The sequence below is a fragment of the Homo sapiens genome, chromosome 1, assembly GCF_000001405.40.
Source record: "Homo sapiens chromosome 1, GRCh38.p14 Primary Assembly".
NCBI classification, from domain to species: domain Eukaryota; kingdom Metazoa; phylum Chordata; class Mammalia; order Primates; family Hominidae; genus Homo; species Homo sapiens.
Genome location: NC_000001.11, coordinates 168,059,348 through 168,078,060, shown reverse-complemented (window position 1 = coordinate 168,078,060; position 18,713 = coordinate 168,059,348). Strand labels below are relative to the sequence as shown.

The 18,713-nt window shown below is 35.7% G+C and overlaps 1 protein-coding gene across 25 annotated transcripts in view; it reads right to left on the bottom strand.

Moving 5' to 3' along the window:
- Positions 2,225–18,713, bottom strand: part of DCAF6 (DDB1 and CUL4 associated factor 6) — a 212,261-nt gene continuing 195,772 nt past the window's right edge. For all 25 annotated transcript variants that reach the window (NR_146229.2, NR_146230.2, NR_146228.2 and 22 more), the window contains 5 exons: positions 14,302–14,440; positions 12,315–12,471; positions 11,596–11,684; positions 9,598–9,703; positions 2,225–2,690 (listed from right to left, as the gene is read on the bottom strand). Coding sequence is in view for 22 of the 25 variants with exons in the window: in XM_047425194.1 (XP_047281150.1) it covers positions 2,626–2,690; positions 9,598–9,703; positions 11,596–11,684; positions 12,315–12,471; positions 14,302–14,440 (556 nt within the window). In the remaining 3 variants the exon portion in view is untranslated. The remainder of the gene's footprint in view (positions 2,691–9,597; positions 9,704–11,595; positions 11,685–12,314; positions 12,472–14,301; positions 14,441–18,713) is intronic.

Here is an 18,713-nt window from a genome sequence, read left to right as displayed (position 1 = left end):
TGACCTTGTTTGGCTAAAGCTCTGATTCTATCCTCTTGATCATTTACGACGTTTCCTAATGTGGATACATATGTGCCTTTGTCAAGCTGGATGTTGAAGTCCAGCTGAACCTACTGAGCTTACTGAGTAATAACCTACTGCAGTTATTTCCTCTACACAAAAAGCTAACCTTCTCAGCAGCAGATGTCTCTGGCTGTGGAGGAGATCCTTGTTCTCCATATGGAAGAGGGATGCTCTGCTTGACTACTGACTGGTCCGTGAGACCAGTCGTGGCTCAGCCAGGAGATATTATGTCTTACTCTCAGTATCTGACTTTGTCCTTTCTCTCCAAGATATTTAGATTCCTGAAAATAATAGGAACATTTCAACTATCTGCTAATTAAACAATAAGAGATTGACTACTTTCAACAAAAAAGGGCAGCTGTTAACAGCACAAACACTAAAAGCATCAACAGACAGGGGCCCAGGATTGAGATGACCATGGCAAGCCATCACATTTGCATTGGCACTGGCCTCTTTCAGCCACCATGTATAGTCACCAATGATATCACATCCACTTCCAGAGTGTGAGCAAAAGCTAGAGCTCAAGGCTGGTGCTGATGGTGATGGATAAGCTGTCATATGATCCGTAGCTCTGACCTTGACAACTCCAACATTTTCTTTCTTTTGTAAGTGTTATAATTTTGGCAGCACTGAATAGCTGTTTCAAGATGGGGTCAATAATCAGTCCAGCATGTAATTCAATGTCTTCTCCAGCTACTGGCTGGCAAGGAGGTATAGTGAAGATAGTTACTGGCTGGACTATAGGTCATGGAGAAGTTGCTGGGTTTATTTCTGTCCTTCACAAGTGAGACAGTTCCTAAGAGCCCACTGAATGGAAGCTCAAAGACTTTCCCCACTAAAAGGGAGAAATGATGTGCCATCCCAGAAACCTACAATAGCAAAGGCCAAGCGTGTGTGTGAGGGTGTGCGCGACAGTGAGCGTGCCTTTGAAATCGCGGACCACTAAACCCAACACTCTGCCATGCTTGCGATTTTGCCTCCAAGATATTATGAGGCAGTGAACTAACTGCCTCACTCCCACCTGGCAGGTCTGGGTTCCGGAAGTGGCTTTGTATATCAAGAAAGTAGCAAAGAGAAGCCATGGACATGTATTGTGCTCATATGGATGACAAGAGGAGGAGAGAAATCAGAAAGTATAGAGAGAATAATTTGGTGTTAAGAAAAGATTTATTTTGTGAATGGACTGAAGAGACATGAGCACATGAATAGGCTGAGGGGAAGATACCAGCAGAATGAAAATTTAGTAGAAGTGAGGGAGGATGATTGAAGGGTTAGGTCTGCAGGAGCAGTTTTGGGTCATAACCTATAGGATATGTAGGTCTGGGTGTAGATGACTTGAATGGAGGTGGATACTAGAGTTAAGGAAGAGCAGAAATTAGACTGGATGGTCAATAACTTGCAGTGAAATTTAAAATTTGGAGTGAGAGGCCAGAAGCCATTTCCTTCAGGGCTACTTTATGCTACTATGTGAGCTACCCATGATGCTCTCAGTCATTTCTGCTTGAAGACTAACTCCTTTATTTGTGTAATGAGGTTCCACTGATCAGGAGCGATAACGACTGGAGGTAAAAATAAAGTATAGTTGGCCCTTGAACAACACAGGTTTGAACTACATAGATCCACCTATATGTGGATTTCCTCTGCCATCCCTCAGACAGCAAGACCAACGCCTCCTTCTTCCTCGGCCTTCTCAACAGTGAAGACCTTTATGATGATCCATTTCCACCTAGTGAACAGTAAATATATTTTCTCTTCCTTATGATTTTCTTAATAACACTTTTTCTGTAGCTTACTTTATTGTAAGAGTATAGAATATAACACATAAAATATACAAAATATGTGTTAATTGACCATGCTATCAGTAAGGCTTGCGATCAACAGGCTGTTAATGGTCAAATTTTTGGGAAGTCAACAGTTACACATGAATCTTCAACTGTGAGGGGGGCTGGTGCCACTAACCCCTGGGTTGCTCAAGGGTCAGCTGTACCGTGGAAGGAGAAATGAAGGAAGTCCTTCTATGTGATTCTATCCCACACAAGCAAAAAAGGAAAAGGTTGTTAAATCTAGAAAATATAGAAAAATAGTCATCGTATGCTACAGGAGAGATTGGAAAACTGTGGGTCAAAGTAGCAAGGCATTAAATAAAAAGTCAAATTCAGGGTATCTTAAAACAACCAGTTTCTTTAATTAGAAAGCAACAAACATGCAAATGGCAAGTGTAGAAATTTATTTGAACCAACATTTTCACTATGATGAAAATTATTCTTCAACATTGATCCAAGCTCCCACATTTGAAGGTTAGGGAAAATATTGCACTTTGCATTTTCTAGCACTCCTCATACACGGCAAAAAGTTTTAAAAACATTCTGCTAGTTTTGTTTTATACAATCTCCCAAATTCATGCACACAATCATTCCAAACCAATGTTAGGTTATCCCAAAAAAAGGGAAAAACTCCAAAAACCATAACCTTAAAATTGCACTAAAGCTCTGTAAAGAAAAAAATATAATAAATGTCTTATACAAATTTCAGAACATTTAAGTGCTTGCCAAAAAGAGTTTATTATTCCTCATCCTCATTTTCATTCTCTTGACCAGAGCCTTCTGATCTGTCACCCTCCAACCGGTCTGGAAACACAGATAAGAGAATCGCAAAGAGAAATACTTTTAGTAATTACAATTATTAATATTTTTCAATGCCTTTTATTTAAAACGCATTAAAAATCAGTTCACCACTATGTGTGGATGTCTTTAGAGGCAAATAAAAGAGTAAAGAAAACACAGTATTATTAGCTTTGATTATGCATGTTATTCTAAAACATGTAAAAATGAAAAAAGAAACCCACTCCTAAAATCTTGATATATTATGTTCTACTGCAGTGGTTGTCAAACAGTGTTCTTTGGAGTCTAGGTTTCTAAGGAGGTACATCAGGTGCTGCAAAGGGGAGTGAGGAGGCAGCTGTGTGAGAGAAAATATGTGGACGATTGTTGAGGATTTGTGTAATTCTGTTTGTAAAAAGATTTTTTTAAATTAAATACTATGTTCCAGGCATTGTGATAAAACCTGAGAATACAATGGTGACCAAAACAGATGTAAATTTCTGGTCTCAAGGAGCTTATTTAGGTTAAATACTCAAGTGAATATAAACTTACAAACTGGTGAGTACAGTATGCTCGTTCAAGTTTTCAGGAATTACACTTGCTATTCCTCTGCTTGGGATACTTTTGCCCAATTCTTTAGCTATAAAGGTTTACTCATCTCAATACAACTATTATACCCTTGGTGAAACTTTTCCTGGACATTTCCAAACAGGCTATCTGCAGAATTATGAACTCCCTCCTCCACATTCTAGAATATCTTATATGAACTTCATAATGATGATCCTAATTACAGTAATAGTCGTTTGCATGTCTTCCTGCAGACCAGATTGAGAGTTCCTGGAGGGCAGGAGTTACTTCTTTTTATCTTTATATCCTCAGAGCCTAGTATAGGATGTTCAATGAAGGTTTACTGAATAAATGAATATAAGTTTTATGAAGGTAAGATACATTACATAAGGGTATTGTGAAGAAGGCAACAGCATAAAATCACTACCATCACTGAGATGGAACTAGGATGTTTCTGCCCCAGAAACATTTCCACATAGTAACATGGAAAATATTAAGGTTAAGCATAAGGAAAACAGTTCAGTCCCACTGTCAACAGCAAGAGAAGACTGAATCCTGAGATTTTATTTATTATCTACACAGGATTAAATGCTCCCACTGGATCCTAGGTCAACAGCACCAAGAACAGTACACTGAAGGGACTATATGTCCCTTTTAATTGTTTAATTGTCCAAGTGAATTAGATTAAATCTCCTCTATGCCAACTCTAATCCAATGTCAAACCAATGACATAATGTATGTGTAACCTTTATAACCTTAATTATACAAATAGGTATTGAATACAAATAAGTATTCAATTCCTTACTGATCTATAAAGGTCTATTCAAATCTTATTTTGTTCATTTATTTTATAAATATGTATTCAATACATATTTATAAAATAAATGAACAAAATAAGATTTGAATAGACCTTTATAGATCAGTAAGGAATTTAAACACAGTAGAAGAATTTCTGACCAATAAAAGGCTACCTAAGGGATATTAGTATAAAAAAAATTACATTGTTTTTATTGTGTGATACTTTCAAGAGAGAACAAAACATGAAGTTGCTATTCTACTTAAGTAGGGCTCAGGAATGGGAATCCTGAGTATGACTGAATATATTCAAGAAACCTATCCTGTCATGTTAGAGCATGATGAAGCAGTAACGGCCTATCTCAAAGTTGGCAGGCTTCTTACTCAAATTTCTTTTGGTTGTCACATTATAAAGAAGATGGGATAATAGAGAGTTAAGAAAAAAATGTCACAGCCTTTAAATCAGGGAGTTTGCAGTAGAGGTTAGACTTTTACACTCAGAGGCACACAATAAAGAGACAAATGAGGGCCAAGAGTCTTACGATAGGTCACAGAATAAGTGACAGTGGCTTCTGAAATGAGGAAAGCAGAATAGTTGTTCTCTCCTCAAATTCAATTCATTTAACTGATGCATAGTCACCTCTTCCAGAATGTAAGCCCAACTTCTCAGAATTAATTAAATCTTCTGTTCATGAAATGCTACTGAAGTAGTAAGGCTGCAAAGCAGTTAACACTTATACAAATCTCTGGTTGGCAATTATAGACAAGGAGGTCTGAAGAACAGTGTGTTCTCTTAAATAAAAACTGGAAATAAGAATCACTTCTATGTATACTGTTTTTCTTTTTCTTCTTTTTTTTTTGAGACCGAGTCTCGCTCTATCGCCCAGGCTGGAGTGCAGTGGCGCGATCTTGGCTCACTGCAACCTCCGCCTCCCGGGTTCAAGCGATTCTCCTGTCTCGCCCTCCCGAGTAGCTGGGACTACAGGAGCGTGCCACCACACCCGGCTGATTTTTTTGTTTTTAGTAGAGATGGGGTTTCACCATGTTAGCCAGGATGTCTATGTATACTGTTTTTCAGAAGTAGCAATGTCAAATTGCTTTTGTAAATAAGGTTTACATTTGTAGAAAGGTTCCTTTTATTCTGTTAGAATATTTCTTCAGGAAACTGGGGAAGATAATGATATGAAGAGACACTGAGTTTGCTGCAGAGGGAGGGAAGGTAGATAAGAAAAAAATTTCCCAATGGAAGCCTGTGTTTCACAAAAAACACTGTTGTTTTATTTTCCAGGCTACCCTTTACAAAGAATTTATTTACTTTCTTTAAAAGAAATAATACAAATTCATTGTTAGCTAGAGATTTGATACTAGATGTGTACTTATTTACCAGAATACTCAGTATTTGTTAAGCAACTACTATGTGGTAGGCACTGTTTTAGGAGCCTAAAGACCCAGCTGCAAATTAAGACAAACTGGGTCTCTGCTCTTTATAAGCTTACTTTCTAAGGAGGAAGATAGACAACAAACAAGGTACCACCTGTATTTTTCTCCTCTAATCTGTAATAAGACAATAAATAAAGAAATTAAAGCTTAAGAGTGATAAGTACTTGAGGAAAATAAGGCAATGAACAAGAATGACTAAGTGAGAGGGAAGATATGAGAAGACACAGAAAACAACTTTAGATTGAGTGACCAGGGAAGACTTTTCTTTTCTTTTTTTTTTTTTTTTTTTTTTTTTTTTTTTAGACTGATTCTCCCTCTGTCACCAGGCTGGAGTGCAGTGGTGCGATCTCGGCTCACTACAACCTCCACCTCCTGGGTTCAGGCGATTCTCCTGCCTCAGCCTCCCAAGTAGCTGGGACTACAGGCACGCGCCACCACACCCAGCTAATTTTTGTATTTTTCAGTACAGATGGGATTTCACCATGTTGGCCAGGCTGGTCTCAATCTCCTGACCTCGTGATCTACCCGCCTCGGCCTCCCAAAGTGCTGGGATTACAGGCATGAGCCACCGCACTACCAGGGAAGACTTTTCTAAGGAGGTGATATTGGAGCTAAGACCTCAATTGTATGTGAAGTCCTGGGGGCAAAGTTGGGCAGATGAACAAGTGAAAAGGTCCTAAATGTGCTACTAAGCTTGATGAGTTTGAGGAAGAGAGGCCAGTATGGCTAAAATGTAGTGAGCTAGAAAAAAAGGTGGACTGAGTGGAAGTCAGAGGTTGGCAGAATGTATGTCATGTAGGACCTTGAAGGCCAGAGTAAGAAGTCTGGGTTTTACTTTAAGAGCAATAGGGAGTCCCTGAGAATTTTAAGAGGGGGTGGTATCTAATTTGTGTTTTAAAAAGGTGGTAGCAGACTATAGCCCATAGGCAAATACAGCCCACTGCCTGATTTTGGTTTTGTTTGAGACAGAGTCTCAATCTGTCACCCAGGCTGGAGTGTAGTGGCGCAATTTTGGCTCACTGCAACCTCTACCTCCCAAGTTAAAGTGACTCTCCTGCCTCAGCCTCCCAAGTAGCTGGGATTACAGGTGTGCACCATCACGTCCAGCTAATTTTTGTATTTTTGTATTTATAATTTTTTTTATTTTTTATTTTTATAGAGACGGGGTTTTGCCATGTTGGCGAGGCTGGTCTTGAATTCCTGACCTCAGGTGATTCACCTGCCTCAGCCTCCCAAAGTGCTGAGATTACAGGCGTGAGCCACTGTACCTGGCTCTGTTTTTATATATTAAGTTTTATTATAAGTGCCATACCTGTTCATTTACATATGGTCTATGGCTGTTTTTGCATTACAATGGCAGAGTTGAGTGGTTACAATAAAAACCATATCTGGCCATTAACAAAAAAATTAACTGACCTGTTTTGAAAGGATCCCTCTGGCTGCTGTGTGAAAATCAGACTATGAGGACAAGAGAAGTAGAAGCAGGGAGATCAAGGGTATATAAATATTAGGTCTATTCTGGAGTAAAGTTAGTATCACTTACTGAGGGAGTCAATCTGTGAACGATTTAATAAGTGATTGTGATCTCAATAGGATAACAGGCTTTGCAAACCCATGACAGAGAAATGATAACTATCTGTGCTAAGATCCAGAGGTATAATGGGAAGAATGTCAAGAGATAATGCAGGGTTTTATAAGACATGTTAACACATTTGGACTCTACCCTAAGAACATGTGTGGGCAAAGGAGAATTTTAAGCAGGGCAGTAAAGTGATTCTAAGACATTCTAGAGGAGTCTAGAATGATCCATGCAAACCATTACCATCTTTCCAAAGCCTCTCAAAGCTTCTAGGGATGTCAGAAATGCCTTTCCATCTCAAGTGGCCACTAGACTAGCAGTCTTTAGTGCATTATTCATGAGATTAACTTTGGTTGCTTTTTAAAAATGTAGACGCTTAATCTCTATCCAGCTAAAATGAACCAGAATCTTTAGCAGGTGAGACCTAGGTAAGTATTTGTAGTTTGTAAAACCCCTACAGATGATTTTAAGAGGCTCCTTCATTAAAAATCACAGCTCCAACAGAAAGAAACTGTCCGTATCTATTCCCTGGACTTCCTAGGAAGCCTTCTGGAGTAATGGATGAGCCGAGAGGTACTTTGTGGCTACCATGTGCTTATTTGATCCAAGTCCATTTTTAACTCTCCTGAATATGCACACATTATTGTATTTGGACTGCAGGACACTGGATAGGAGAGAAAAAGAGTGGTTGACTAACTGACCCATCAAATAACTAGATATCTTAAAGATAAGGGCAGCAGAAATGTTAACTCTTGGGCACTTTATTCTATCTAGTATTTTGTATAAGAGAAGCAAGAAGATAAGCTGACTAAACCAACTAGAAATTGTCTTTTTGATTGCTGGCAAAAAGAAATGAAAGAGAATTTTTATATTATAAAACACCTTATCTAATTCTAAAACCAAAGAAGGATGGTAGTGGCTATTAACTAACCAACCATTGCTACATTAGCACAAATAGATTTTTGTGCAACTGGAAAGAGAATTAATTTTCTGCAGGAAAACTACTGAGGAAGAGCCATCCACTAGATAAGAGTAAGCACATTTTAGGTGTCATTACCAGTAAACGTTTTTCTTGTTTTAAAATGCTGCTTCCTCAAATGTGAAATTCAAATGGATGAATTTTAAGGGTTACTTGCTGTTATTGAACAAAATATATTTTAAAAAAGTTACAGTGTTATTATAATTTAATAATACAGGAACCCAAAGAAGATCACAAAAACATTTTGTTGGTCTATTAACATTTTTTGTTTACATTCCAGGTTTATTTTTTGTTGTTGTTTTCACCATTTGAAGTTTTCCCTCTTTCCTGGTAAAAGTTAATATTTACATTTGAGGATTATTTTCTAATTCTTTTAATTACAAACATATGGGTCTTCTTTCAATTTTTCAGATGTGCTATACTTTCTCTCCTCTAGGGCTTAGAAAAACGCTATACGCTGTCTACTTTCTGTGGAATACTTGTCTCCATTCCCCACTCTCTCTGAGGAAGTGATATTTAATTCACTGCTTATGCAGTTCTTACAGTAAGAAGTTATCTCAACAGAGTGAAGATGGGAGGGGACAGCACGATTATAAAAACCCTGAGGTGGGAAAGAGTTTGGTGTATCCCCAAAAATCAAAGAGGGCCAGTGTGGATGGAGTAGTCACAGAAGAAAAGAATGCTGTAAATCAGCTAGAATAGTTTGAGATTAGATCATCCAGAGGTTTGCATGTCATATGAATGATTTGAATATATTCCTGTAAGTGAAATTTATAGGTCAAAGGGGAGTAAGGGCTTGGAAGCTAATTTCAAATTCTGGCTTTAATATTTATCAGTTGTGTGACTTGGGCTAAGTTATTACAAATAACCTACTTTGTAAAGGATTGGAGGTAAATGAGGATAAAGCTGTGAAATAATTAGTATAAGCCTGATACATTATAGTTACTTTATAAATGGTACCTATTATTATTAAATGATAGCTAATACCAAACGTATGGGGACATTTATGAAATCAGTGAAGAGTGGTAAAACTCTTTTGTTTGATAAATATATTCTGCTTATAACAGATACTAGACCTTTTCTTTTGTTATAAATTATTCAATTCCTTCTTGAACATTAGTTGTAATATATGCATTTTTATGTATCTGTGGCACTGCACCTCACAGTTTATCTAAAACAAAAAAATATTCAAAAAGCAAACTGAGGTATGTTTCATTTCTTAGCATGTCACATTTATTTCTGTTTGGGCTATGACTGATTTTCAACAAACCTACCATTAAAGAATATGCACGATAATATATCCTAAGGTTATGTACTCTAAGAAAACAGCAGCTGATAAGAGTTTTTACGTGACTCTGGTCTTTTCATTTTGACCATTTTACGACAAATGTAGTTCATGAGGAACTAAGTTACTGTGCCAAGATCAAGCATTCACAGAAATCCTAGTTTAGAAGTTAAGCTACCCTCATTTTGTGATATTAAAAAATATATATAAACCCCTTTAAAGCAGATCTTAAATAATAATATATTTTCAAATATAAAAATGGTTTTAGTAGTATACTTAAAGTTCCTACCAGCTCGGATATGATTAAGTGAAGCCAACATCCTCAACATGAAAGAGGCTGGAACTGTAATGGTGTTTCTAGTTTCTTCCAGCATGAGTTCGTTTCGAGTTATAACCTACAAGGCAAGTTAAAAATCGTATCAAAGATCATAAAGTAACTGTATTTTTTCCTTGAAGATCAGGCAAACCGTAAACAATCAGCCAGTACCAGGAGGAATTACTTCATTCTTTATGCGTCTGATGTCTATATTTCTGCCTTAAGTCTATTCAATGCCAAATAATCACTGTAACTTGTATTTAAAGGAGGAAGGTCAAAGAACACAACTCTTTCAAATGGCAGAAAAACAAAGGTCAAATTTTGAGGCTACTTAAAACATTTAAGAATTTAATTTAGCTTTTACTTGCAATTTGCTTCTCAGAGCCATTTACTTTGTTGGCTCCTTGTTTTCCCTATAGGAGAACTGATAACTTTAGTGACGAAATACAGTTAAATTATTATCCATGGGCCACTTGAATCCCTTGAAAAGATGTTACCTTGACTGAGGCAGAGTAGTCTTGGAAAATAAATTTTTGGGCAAGGGTTAACAAGAAACTGAGCCTTAAGTACCAAGAATAGGATTACTTGAATACTCGTGAACACCCAGAGATGCAATATGTAACCATGAGCAAAGGAAAAAAGTGGAAAAGCAAAAAACATGGCAAAGGAAAAAAAGGATGAAAGAAAGAGTATGAGAGGAAGAGAAAGATGCTACTCTGATCAACAGTTCCCCAATACTGAAATAATAAATTCCCAACTCATCAGGGTGCCCCACAGGGCCCTTCACAATCTTACCCTCACCTAACCGTTTAGTTTGATTAAGCTACTTTTGTGCATGTACTCTAGGGTTCCAGGCACACTGATGGTTCATTTACCCTCTCATGCTTTGGCACATGCTGATCCTTCTGTCTTAAATGCTGCTTTGCTCCCTGTCTGCCTGGTGAACTATTCTCAGACTTCTGTCCAATTCTTATTTCTTCTGTGAAGACCTCTCCATCCTATCTACCCCATTTACAAACAGCTGTTCCTCTCTGTGGGCTTCCAAAACACTATGTGTATACCTCTGACTGACACAGACCCCACTACAGTATGTTCTAGCTGTTTACATTGTCTTTCCCACTAAACTCTGAGGGTAGGGCCTTATCTTTTTTACACCCAGCATTATGTATACAATACATCAACTGTTTTATAAATGCCTATTCAATGAGTGAAAGTATACATGGGAATTGTGCTACGAACAGTCAGTGTTAGTCTAGAGTAGTGGTTTTCCAACTTACTAACATTTTTAGCAATGGATTCTCATTTTCATAAGAAATAGTATATGAGAACCCACAAATAAAAACCCTGGTTGAAGTTGGGGAGGAAAGGCCCAGAGTAATGCCTTCCTATTATCCACCTTCCCTCTCCCATCCCAGAAGAAATCCAGAGCTCCAAAGAACTCAGGCTGAAAATACTGTTTTAACAGGCTTAAAAAAATCTTAAAATATAATGATAAAGGAAAAGATTCTTCACTCATTTGTTCTGCTATATACTAATCCTGAAAAACAAAGTTCCATTTCCTTTTTAAGAAAAACTCAAAATGGAAAAATAGCTGTACTAAAAATGGAAAAATTGCTAGGCTTTTGGAGAAACAGTTATAATAAAATTATTTTCTTAAAAGGACAGATTTTTTTGTGTGTGATTCTTTATTGTAATAACATGAATACTCAAACCTGTTTTTCTTAAACTACTATACACCTAATCTGGTGTTACCGATGATGAATATTATAATTAGTAAGCTACTATTTAGATTTTACCTCCCTAGTATTATAGACATCCTTTTATCTTAATTTTTCTTTTTCTTAAAATTTGACCTCCTTAACTGCATTAACTTGTTTCATGTTAGCAACTAATAACTTTTAATTTTTCTTAGGGAAGCATTTTAGGAACAAATTGAAATATGGTCTATAGTAAGTACAATAAAAATCTTACTTCATCAGCAAGTTTTCGGTTAAAAATCCTTGACTCTTCTAATGGTGACCAGATCTTTATGTCATAATCTATGCCAGATGAGGCTAAAACTAGAAATAAAATTTATATATTAATATGAAGCCTAGAAACATGCAATTCAGGATATGCTTATATTATGCATATATGTATATATAGCAAAACTAACCTTGAACAGCAATTGTACACTATATATTTAACTGTTAATTGAAAATATTATTTTGACAATTTGCTAAATGTTATCCTAGAACGTAATTTTAATACCATGTTGAAGTCACTCAGATTCATTGTTGAAGTCACTTATTCATTGTTCTTTTATGAGATATGTGGGCAATTTCAAAAAGAAGACGAGCAATGCTCTTTTGTTCTGATAAATTAATTCAGCTATGTGAAGACTAAAAATGACTGGATGTTCCATTTGGATATACAATAAAAAGTTCAGTCACACCAAACCTCTTACAGCTTGTAAAACTTAGAAGAAATATTGGGAGAATAAACTTTTTAACCTATTTTCTTTTACTTTGTGCAAAAAGCAGATTACAGGTGTGTTTGAAGTGCAAGTTCAGCTGTAATTGACTCTACTGCTGCCTAGTCAGATAGTTTGGATTATTCTTATAATATTAACAATTAAAAAAGAATAATTTTGTATGACTGATGAGTCATACAAATAATTTCTAGCCCTCGTCCTAGAAAAGATATCTTACTTGGGTCAAACGGATGTGGCTGCAGGCAGTTTACCACATGATTATCAGCTTCCAGAAGCATCAAATGCTCAGCAGTGTGCCGATCCCAGATGAAAATGTGGCCACAGTCAGAACCACTCATTACAAAGTTAGCACCCCAGAAATTGGCTTCTTTTATCTAAGGGTTAAAAAAAATTATTTAAAAATTCAAATCAAAGTTATTAAAACAAAGATTTATGCTACTCTTACATTTTTTTATTTGTTTTAATTCTTACATTTTTTAAAAAACTGGCTTAGAAAATAGTAAAATTAAAAATTGATGCTGGGCGCAGTGGCTCACACCTGTAATCCCAGCACTTTGGGAGGCCAAGGCAGGAGGACTGCCTGAGCTGAGGAGTTTGAGACCAGCCTGGGCAATATAGTGAGATCCCCTATCTATAAAAAAAAAAACTGACAAAAATCTGTCTTCTAGCTTCTTTAAATTATGATAGGCATTCATCAGCAAGGGTAAGATGGCAGTAAGTAATAGAAAATCCCCCCTAAGAAGAGGGACTTTGCTTTGTTCAATACTATATTTACAGCACCTGAAATGGTACTTGGGATACAATAGGTGCTTAATTATTAACTGCTAAATGAAAGAATAGGATTTCTGGGTTTTGGGCAGTATAATGGCAATTTACATATATGTTGCTGAACTTTCCAAAAATTGTACCAATTTAGCTTTATAAGACAATGAAATAATTCACAGATAAAAGAAATTGTCTTTTGTATTTTGCTTTAGACCCAAAGAATAGAAAGAAGATCATTAGCTATTATAAGCTAACACAATTGAGAAAGATACAAACATACTTAATTTTATGAAGCAGAATCAAAGGCATATGATATACTGGAATAGTTATAATGACATTTTTAAATGAATGCACATGAATGAAACATCAAAAATCTTTGTATTTCAAACAAGGATTTTAAAAAATTTTAACTGCAGCTGCTACTTTGCCATTTTTGGTGCTCTCACAAAAGAGGGGAGACAATTTTATTGTTATCTGAGCTACTGTTAAATTTACTTATCTTCTCTTTTCTCACTCCTTCCTCTAATTATTTTCATGCTAACTTTTAGGCAATAAAATGCAAGAAATATAAATTGGTTACTTCTATTAATAATGAGTAACCTTTTAAAAATGAGTAAATTGTTACTAGCAATGACATTTATAGAAAGAGCTAATTACTTCCCCAACCCAAATGTTATTTTTTAACCTAGATCCTAAAGAAAGCAAGCTACAAATTCATCAGCAAGGGTAATATGGCAGTAATATGGATTAAAACTGATTCTGTAGATACCTTCTGATGATGCAATGTATATGAGGAGAACAACACTTTCTAGTTATGAAGGGATCAGAGTAACAGTTACACTAGTCATCTCAAAAACTTTTCTTATTAAGTAATTAATATTACACTGGGTGTAGAAACTTGTAGATCGTAAAAACTACAAAAGATCTTAGAGATCTTTCTGGTCTATTCTTATTTCATCTGGTAAGTCACTAAAACAAATTTTCACTTGTCAATCTTAAAAATGGGTATAAAGTGGCCTGACAATTTTTTGCAATCAACTTAGATTTTATAGATCCAAATCCTTCTCTCCAAAACTAACAAAGAATGCTAATACAAGCTAAAAAAAAAAAAAAAAAAAATCCACCAGAAACTTTTCAGGTAGACAGCAAATGTGAGAAAGAGAGGGGGAAAAAAAAAAAAAAACAAAAGCAATGATTACTTGTATAAACTAAAAATTTTTTTAATCTGCATTTTTTTAGTAGAGTTTTCTTGTAAAAAATAATGATCTTTCACAATATATTATAGGGCTAAAAGAACCATGTTGGATAAAGAGATAACTGAAGATTTAATAATGTAATACTGAAATCCCATTGGCAATATATGAAGATAAATCATTATGGAAAAACACTCAGAGCATGAAACTGCAATTTCACCAAAAAATGCCATGAACATTTGGTACCATTGTCCTGGAGTTGCGATGGCCTTTATAAACCATTTTTACTAGCGGCCTTCTAATGTTCAAAGTATCCAATTCTTCCATTTCTTTCCTTTCTTTTCTCCGTCTGAAGAACTCCTGAATACGGGCAACAGCAGAGCGTCTATATGAATTACATATTAAAAAAACAAAAATAAATAAAAATATTCACAAAGAATAATGAGAAACTTATGAAAATATAGTAAGTCTAGGAAATACATAAACACACTATCTCAATAAGGCACCCCCAACCAAAAGCATAAAAACGCAGACACAACAGTGAGAAGTCAGACTAGTTGAGTTACTACAACAAAGTATTTTAGTTAAGAGATCACTTAGAAATTTGGTACTGGATGAAAAGTAAAGGCAATAGCATGCGGCAAACTGGTTTTTAAAGGGCTATTTTATAAAAACATAATACAGACAAAATTCATGTGCAATTTTACTACAAATATAACAAATTTTATCCAATGTTCTTTCCCCTCTTCTCCATATTAAGAAAACACATAAAGAGAAATGAAAAGAAACTAAAGGTAATATATAATAGCAGTGGATAGACTTCTATTTTGATATTTTATTTAAAATGTGGTTTAAAGATGTTCCAAAAACAGACTACTTTAGGTAAAAAGAATAATGAAACCCCATCTCTACTAAAAATACAAAAAATCAGCCAGGTTTGGCAGCGGGCGCCTATAGTCCCAGCTACTCGGGAGGCTGAGGCAGGAGAATGGCATGAACCCGGGAGGCGGAGCTTGCAGTGAGCCGAGATCGCGCCACTGCACTCCAGCCTGGGTGACAGAGCGAGACTCTGTCTCAAAAAAAAAAAAAAAAGAATATTAATATATAAGCAATAAAACAAGGGCCTTCAAATAGCATCTTCTTTATGGACTCCATATTACGAATTTAGAACTAATGAAGCAGATTTTACTCTCTTAAGAAATGATTTGGTGACAGAACTGGGATTGAAGAACAAAGGACTCTTAAAAACTGATTTAACTATTAAAATAAAACTTCTCTCCTAACACATATTACTTAATAATTTTGTCAGTTTGAATTTATTTAAAATATTATATTTTGACATATAACAGACCAGACGTCCATAATCTTTAAAAAGGTTACAAATCAGTAAGAAAAACAGATCTCATAACAGTTAACAAATATATAAAAGATGCTCAGTCTCACTAATAATAGGATAAAAACAAAAAACTGATCTTTTTATGTTTATTAGATGGAAAAGACTTTTATGTATATCAGAATGGTAAGAGTTCAGGAAAACAGGCATTACTGAGAGGAGTTTGAAAGCGGTTTTTACACATAAAAAAGATATTGTAAACTTTTTACTAAATATAACACATATACGGGAAAGTTGAAAATCCTAAGGTAAAAAGCTCAATGAATTTTTGCAAACAAAACAGGCCCATATAATCAGCACCAGAATTTAGAAACAGTATAACCAGAATTCCTGAAGTCTCCTAAGTACCCCATTTCCATCATTACTGTCCCTTTAAAGGAAACCATTATTCTGACTTCTGATATCATGAATTAATTTTGCCTGCTTGTGAACTTTAATTAAGTGGAATAATACATTTTTTTTATGTCTAGCTTCTTTAGCTCAGAATTATGTTTGTAAGATTCACCCATGTTGTACTTGGCTGTAGTTCATTCATCCTTTTTGCTGCAGAGTATTACTTGGTATAAATATATTAATATTTATTTATCCATTCTACTATTGGTGGACATTGGGTTGTCGACATTTTTGATTACTAATATTAGGCTACTATCCACATTTGTGTATGTTGTTTGGTGAACTGTGTACATATTTATGTTGGATATATACCTAGAAGAGGAGCTGCTAGACCTCAGTATGTGCATAATGTTCTGCTTTAATAGATACTCTCAAACTGAAGATCTATTTGTGGTTTTCCAAAGTGGCTGTATAAATTTACACTCCCACCCATAGTGTAAAGTTCCAGTAAAATATATTTTTGAAGAGAAATTAAGTAATATAAGCTTTGACTCAGCAATTTAACTTTTAAAAAATGTATATTACAGAAAAACTTAAAATATGTAAATACATAAACTTTTTTTCACTGCACAACTGTAATTGAGACAGATTGGAAATAATCTAAATGTTCATATAGAAAGAATAGGTTAAATAAATTATGGCAAATCCATACAATGAAATACTTATGCAGCCATTAAAAAGGGTATGAATGATCCATAAACCACATGAAAGATATCACCATTATACTGCTTAATCTAAAACACAGGCTAAAGAATAATTCATAGAATAAAATTATATATGCATAGAAAGGGTTTGGAAAGATGGACATTAAATTGTGACTAACAATTTTTAAAATAATTATGTAACAATTATATACTTCTACTTTCATAATAAAAAGATGTTTACTTTTTCATAAACTAAATGGTATACTTTAAGCTATATAGACTTACTTAAAAAGTGTTTTCAAAACTTTTTTCTATGCTATCAAAGAAAAAGGAATCTCCACATACATTTTTAAGTTAGATACAGTTAGAAACTCCCAGAAAAGCTGACATGTTTAGTTCACTCTATTTCTGACTGGGAGGTGAGAATGGGAAGGATAGAGAGGTCAAATATTCTCGAAAGAGACATACTTAAGAGACATATGCTTGGATCTCTCATTTTTCTGAATGGAAGAAAAAGGAATAATGAATCAGTTACAAACATGTGATTAGCAAGAAACCAATAAAGAAAAAACTCTTTTGCTAAGAAAGTAGAGTTATAGGTAGCAGAGGAAATAACTGTGTTGCTAAGCCAAAGGACATAAGAGCTATAAATGAGAAAAAAATTATGCAACAAGAATTTACATGGCAGCTCAAATCATTTATTTTATCACCTAGGCTGGAGTGCAGTGGCGGGGTCTCAGCTCACTGCAACCTCTGCCTCCCAGGTTCAAGCAATTCTCCTGCCTCAGCCTCCCAAGTACCTGGGACTACAGGCCTCCACCACATCTGGCTAATTTTTGTATTTTTAGTAGAGATGGGGTTTCACCATATTGACCAGGCTGGTCTTGGACTCCTGACCTCAAGTGATCCACCCACCTCAGCTTCCCAAAGTGCTGGGATTACAGGCATGAGTCACCATGCCCAGCTTCAAATCATTTAAAACAAGATGTATGGACAAAATTAAGGCTGCATTAGTAAATGAGGTGGTAATAATTATGAATAAACGAGAACTGTATCAAAGCATAAATGTTCATTTAAAAAGTATGCTCTAGGCCAGGCACGGTGGCTCACCCCAGTAATCCCAGCTACTTGGGAGTCTGAGGCAGGAGGGCTGCTTGAGCCCAGGAGTTCAAGACCAGCCTGGGCAACACAGTAAGATCCCATCTCTAAAAAAAGATGAAAAAAATTAGCTGGGCATGGTGGTACACACACACCTGTAGTCCCTGCTATTTGGGAGGCCGAGGTGGGAGGATGGCTTGAGCCCAGTAGTTACAGGATGCAGTGAGCTAAGATCATGCCATGTATTCCAGCCTGGGTAACAAAACAACTCTTAAAACAACAACAAAAACCAAAACTCAAAATATCTACGGGCCAATTAATACAAATAATAGAAAAGGAATGTAGCTGGATACATAATCATATACAAGTTAACTGCATTTCTAAATATCAGCAGGGGACAATTAGCCTAAATTTTAAAAGGAATGCATTTATAACAGCAACAAAAAGTGTCTTTAAGTTATAAAAAATATATGCAAAACCTGCTCACAGAAAAATAAAATGTTACTGAAAGATATTTTGTAAAAGGCCTAGGCTGAGTGCAGCAGTTCACACCTATAATCCCAGCAGTTTGGGAGGCTAAGACAGGAGGATCCCTTGAGCTCAGGAGTTTGAAACCAGGCTGGGCAACATAGTGAGACCCCATCTCCACAAAAAAATCACAAAAATAAGCCAGGAGTGGTGGCACACATCTGTGGTCCCAGCTACTCAGGAAGCTGAGGTGGGAGGATCGCCTGAGCCTAGGAGGTCAAAACTGCAGTGAGCCATGATCATGCCACTGCAATCCAGCCTAGGCGACACAGCAAGACCCTGTCTCAAGGAAAAAAGAAAAAAAGGCCTAAATAAATGTAGACATAACTTTGTATTGTAAAGATAAACAATTTTCACCCAAATTTATTTTACAGATTTATTACAACTATAAGCATATTCTGATGACTTATTTGTAGAACTGAAAAAGTTGATTATAAAATCAACCAAAGGACAAAGAATAGCCAAGATCCTTCTAAAAATGAATAAAGAGAAGGAAGGGTCTTGCCTTAGCCGCCATTAAGATTTACTAAAAAGCTATAATAATTACAAAAGTATGATACTGACAGAGAGACAGGCAAATTGTCTGATGAAACAAAAGAGCC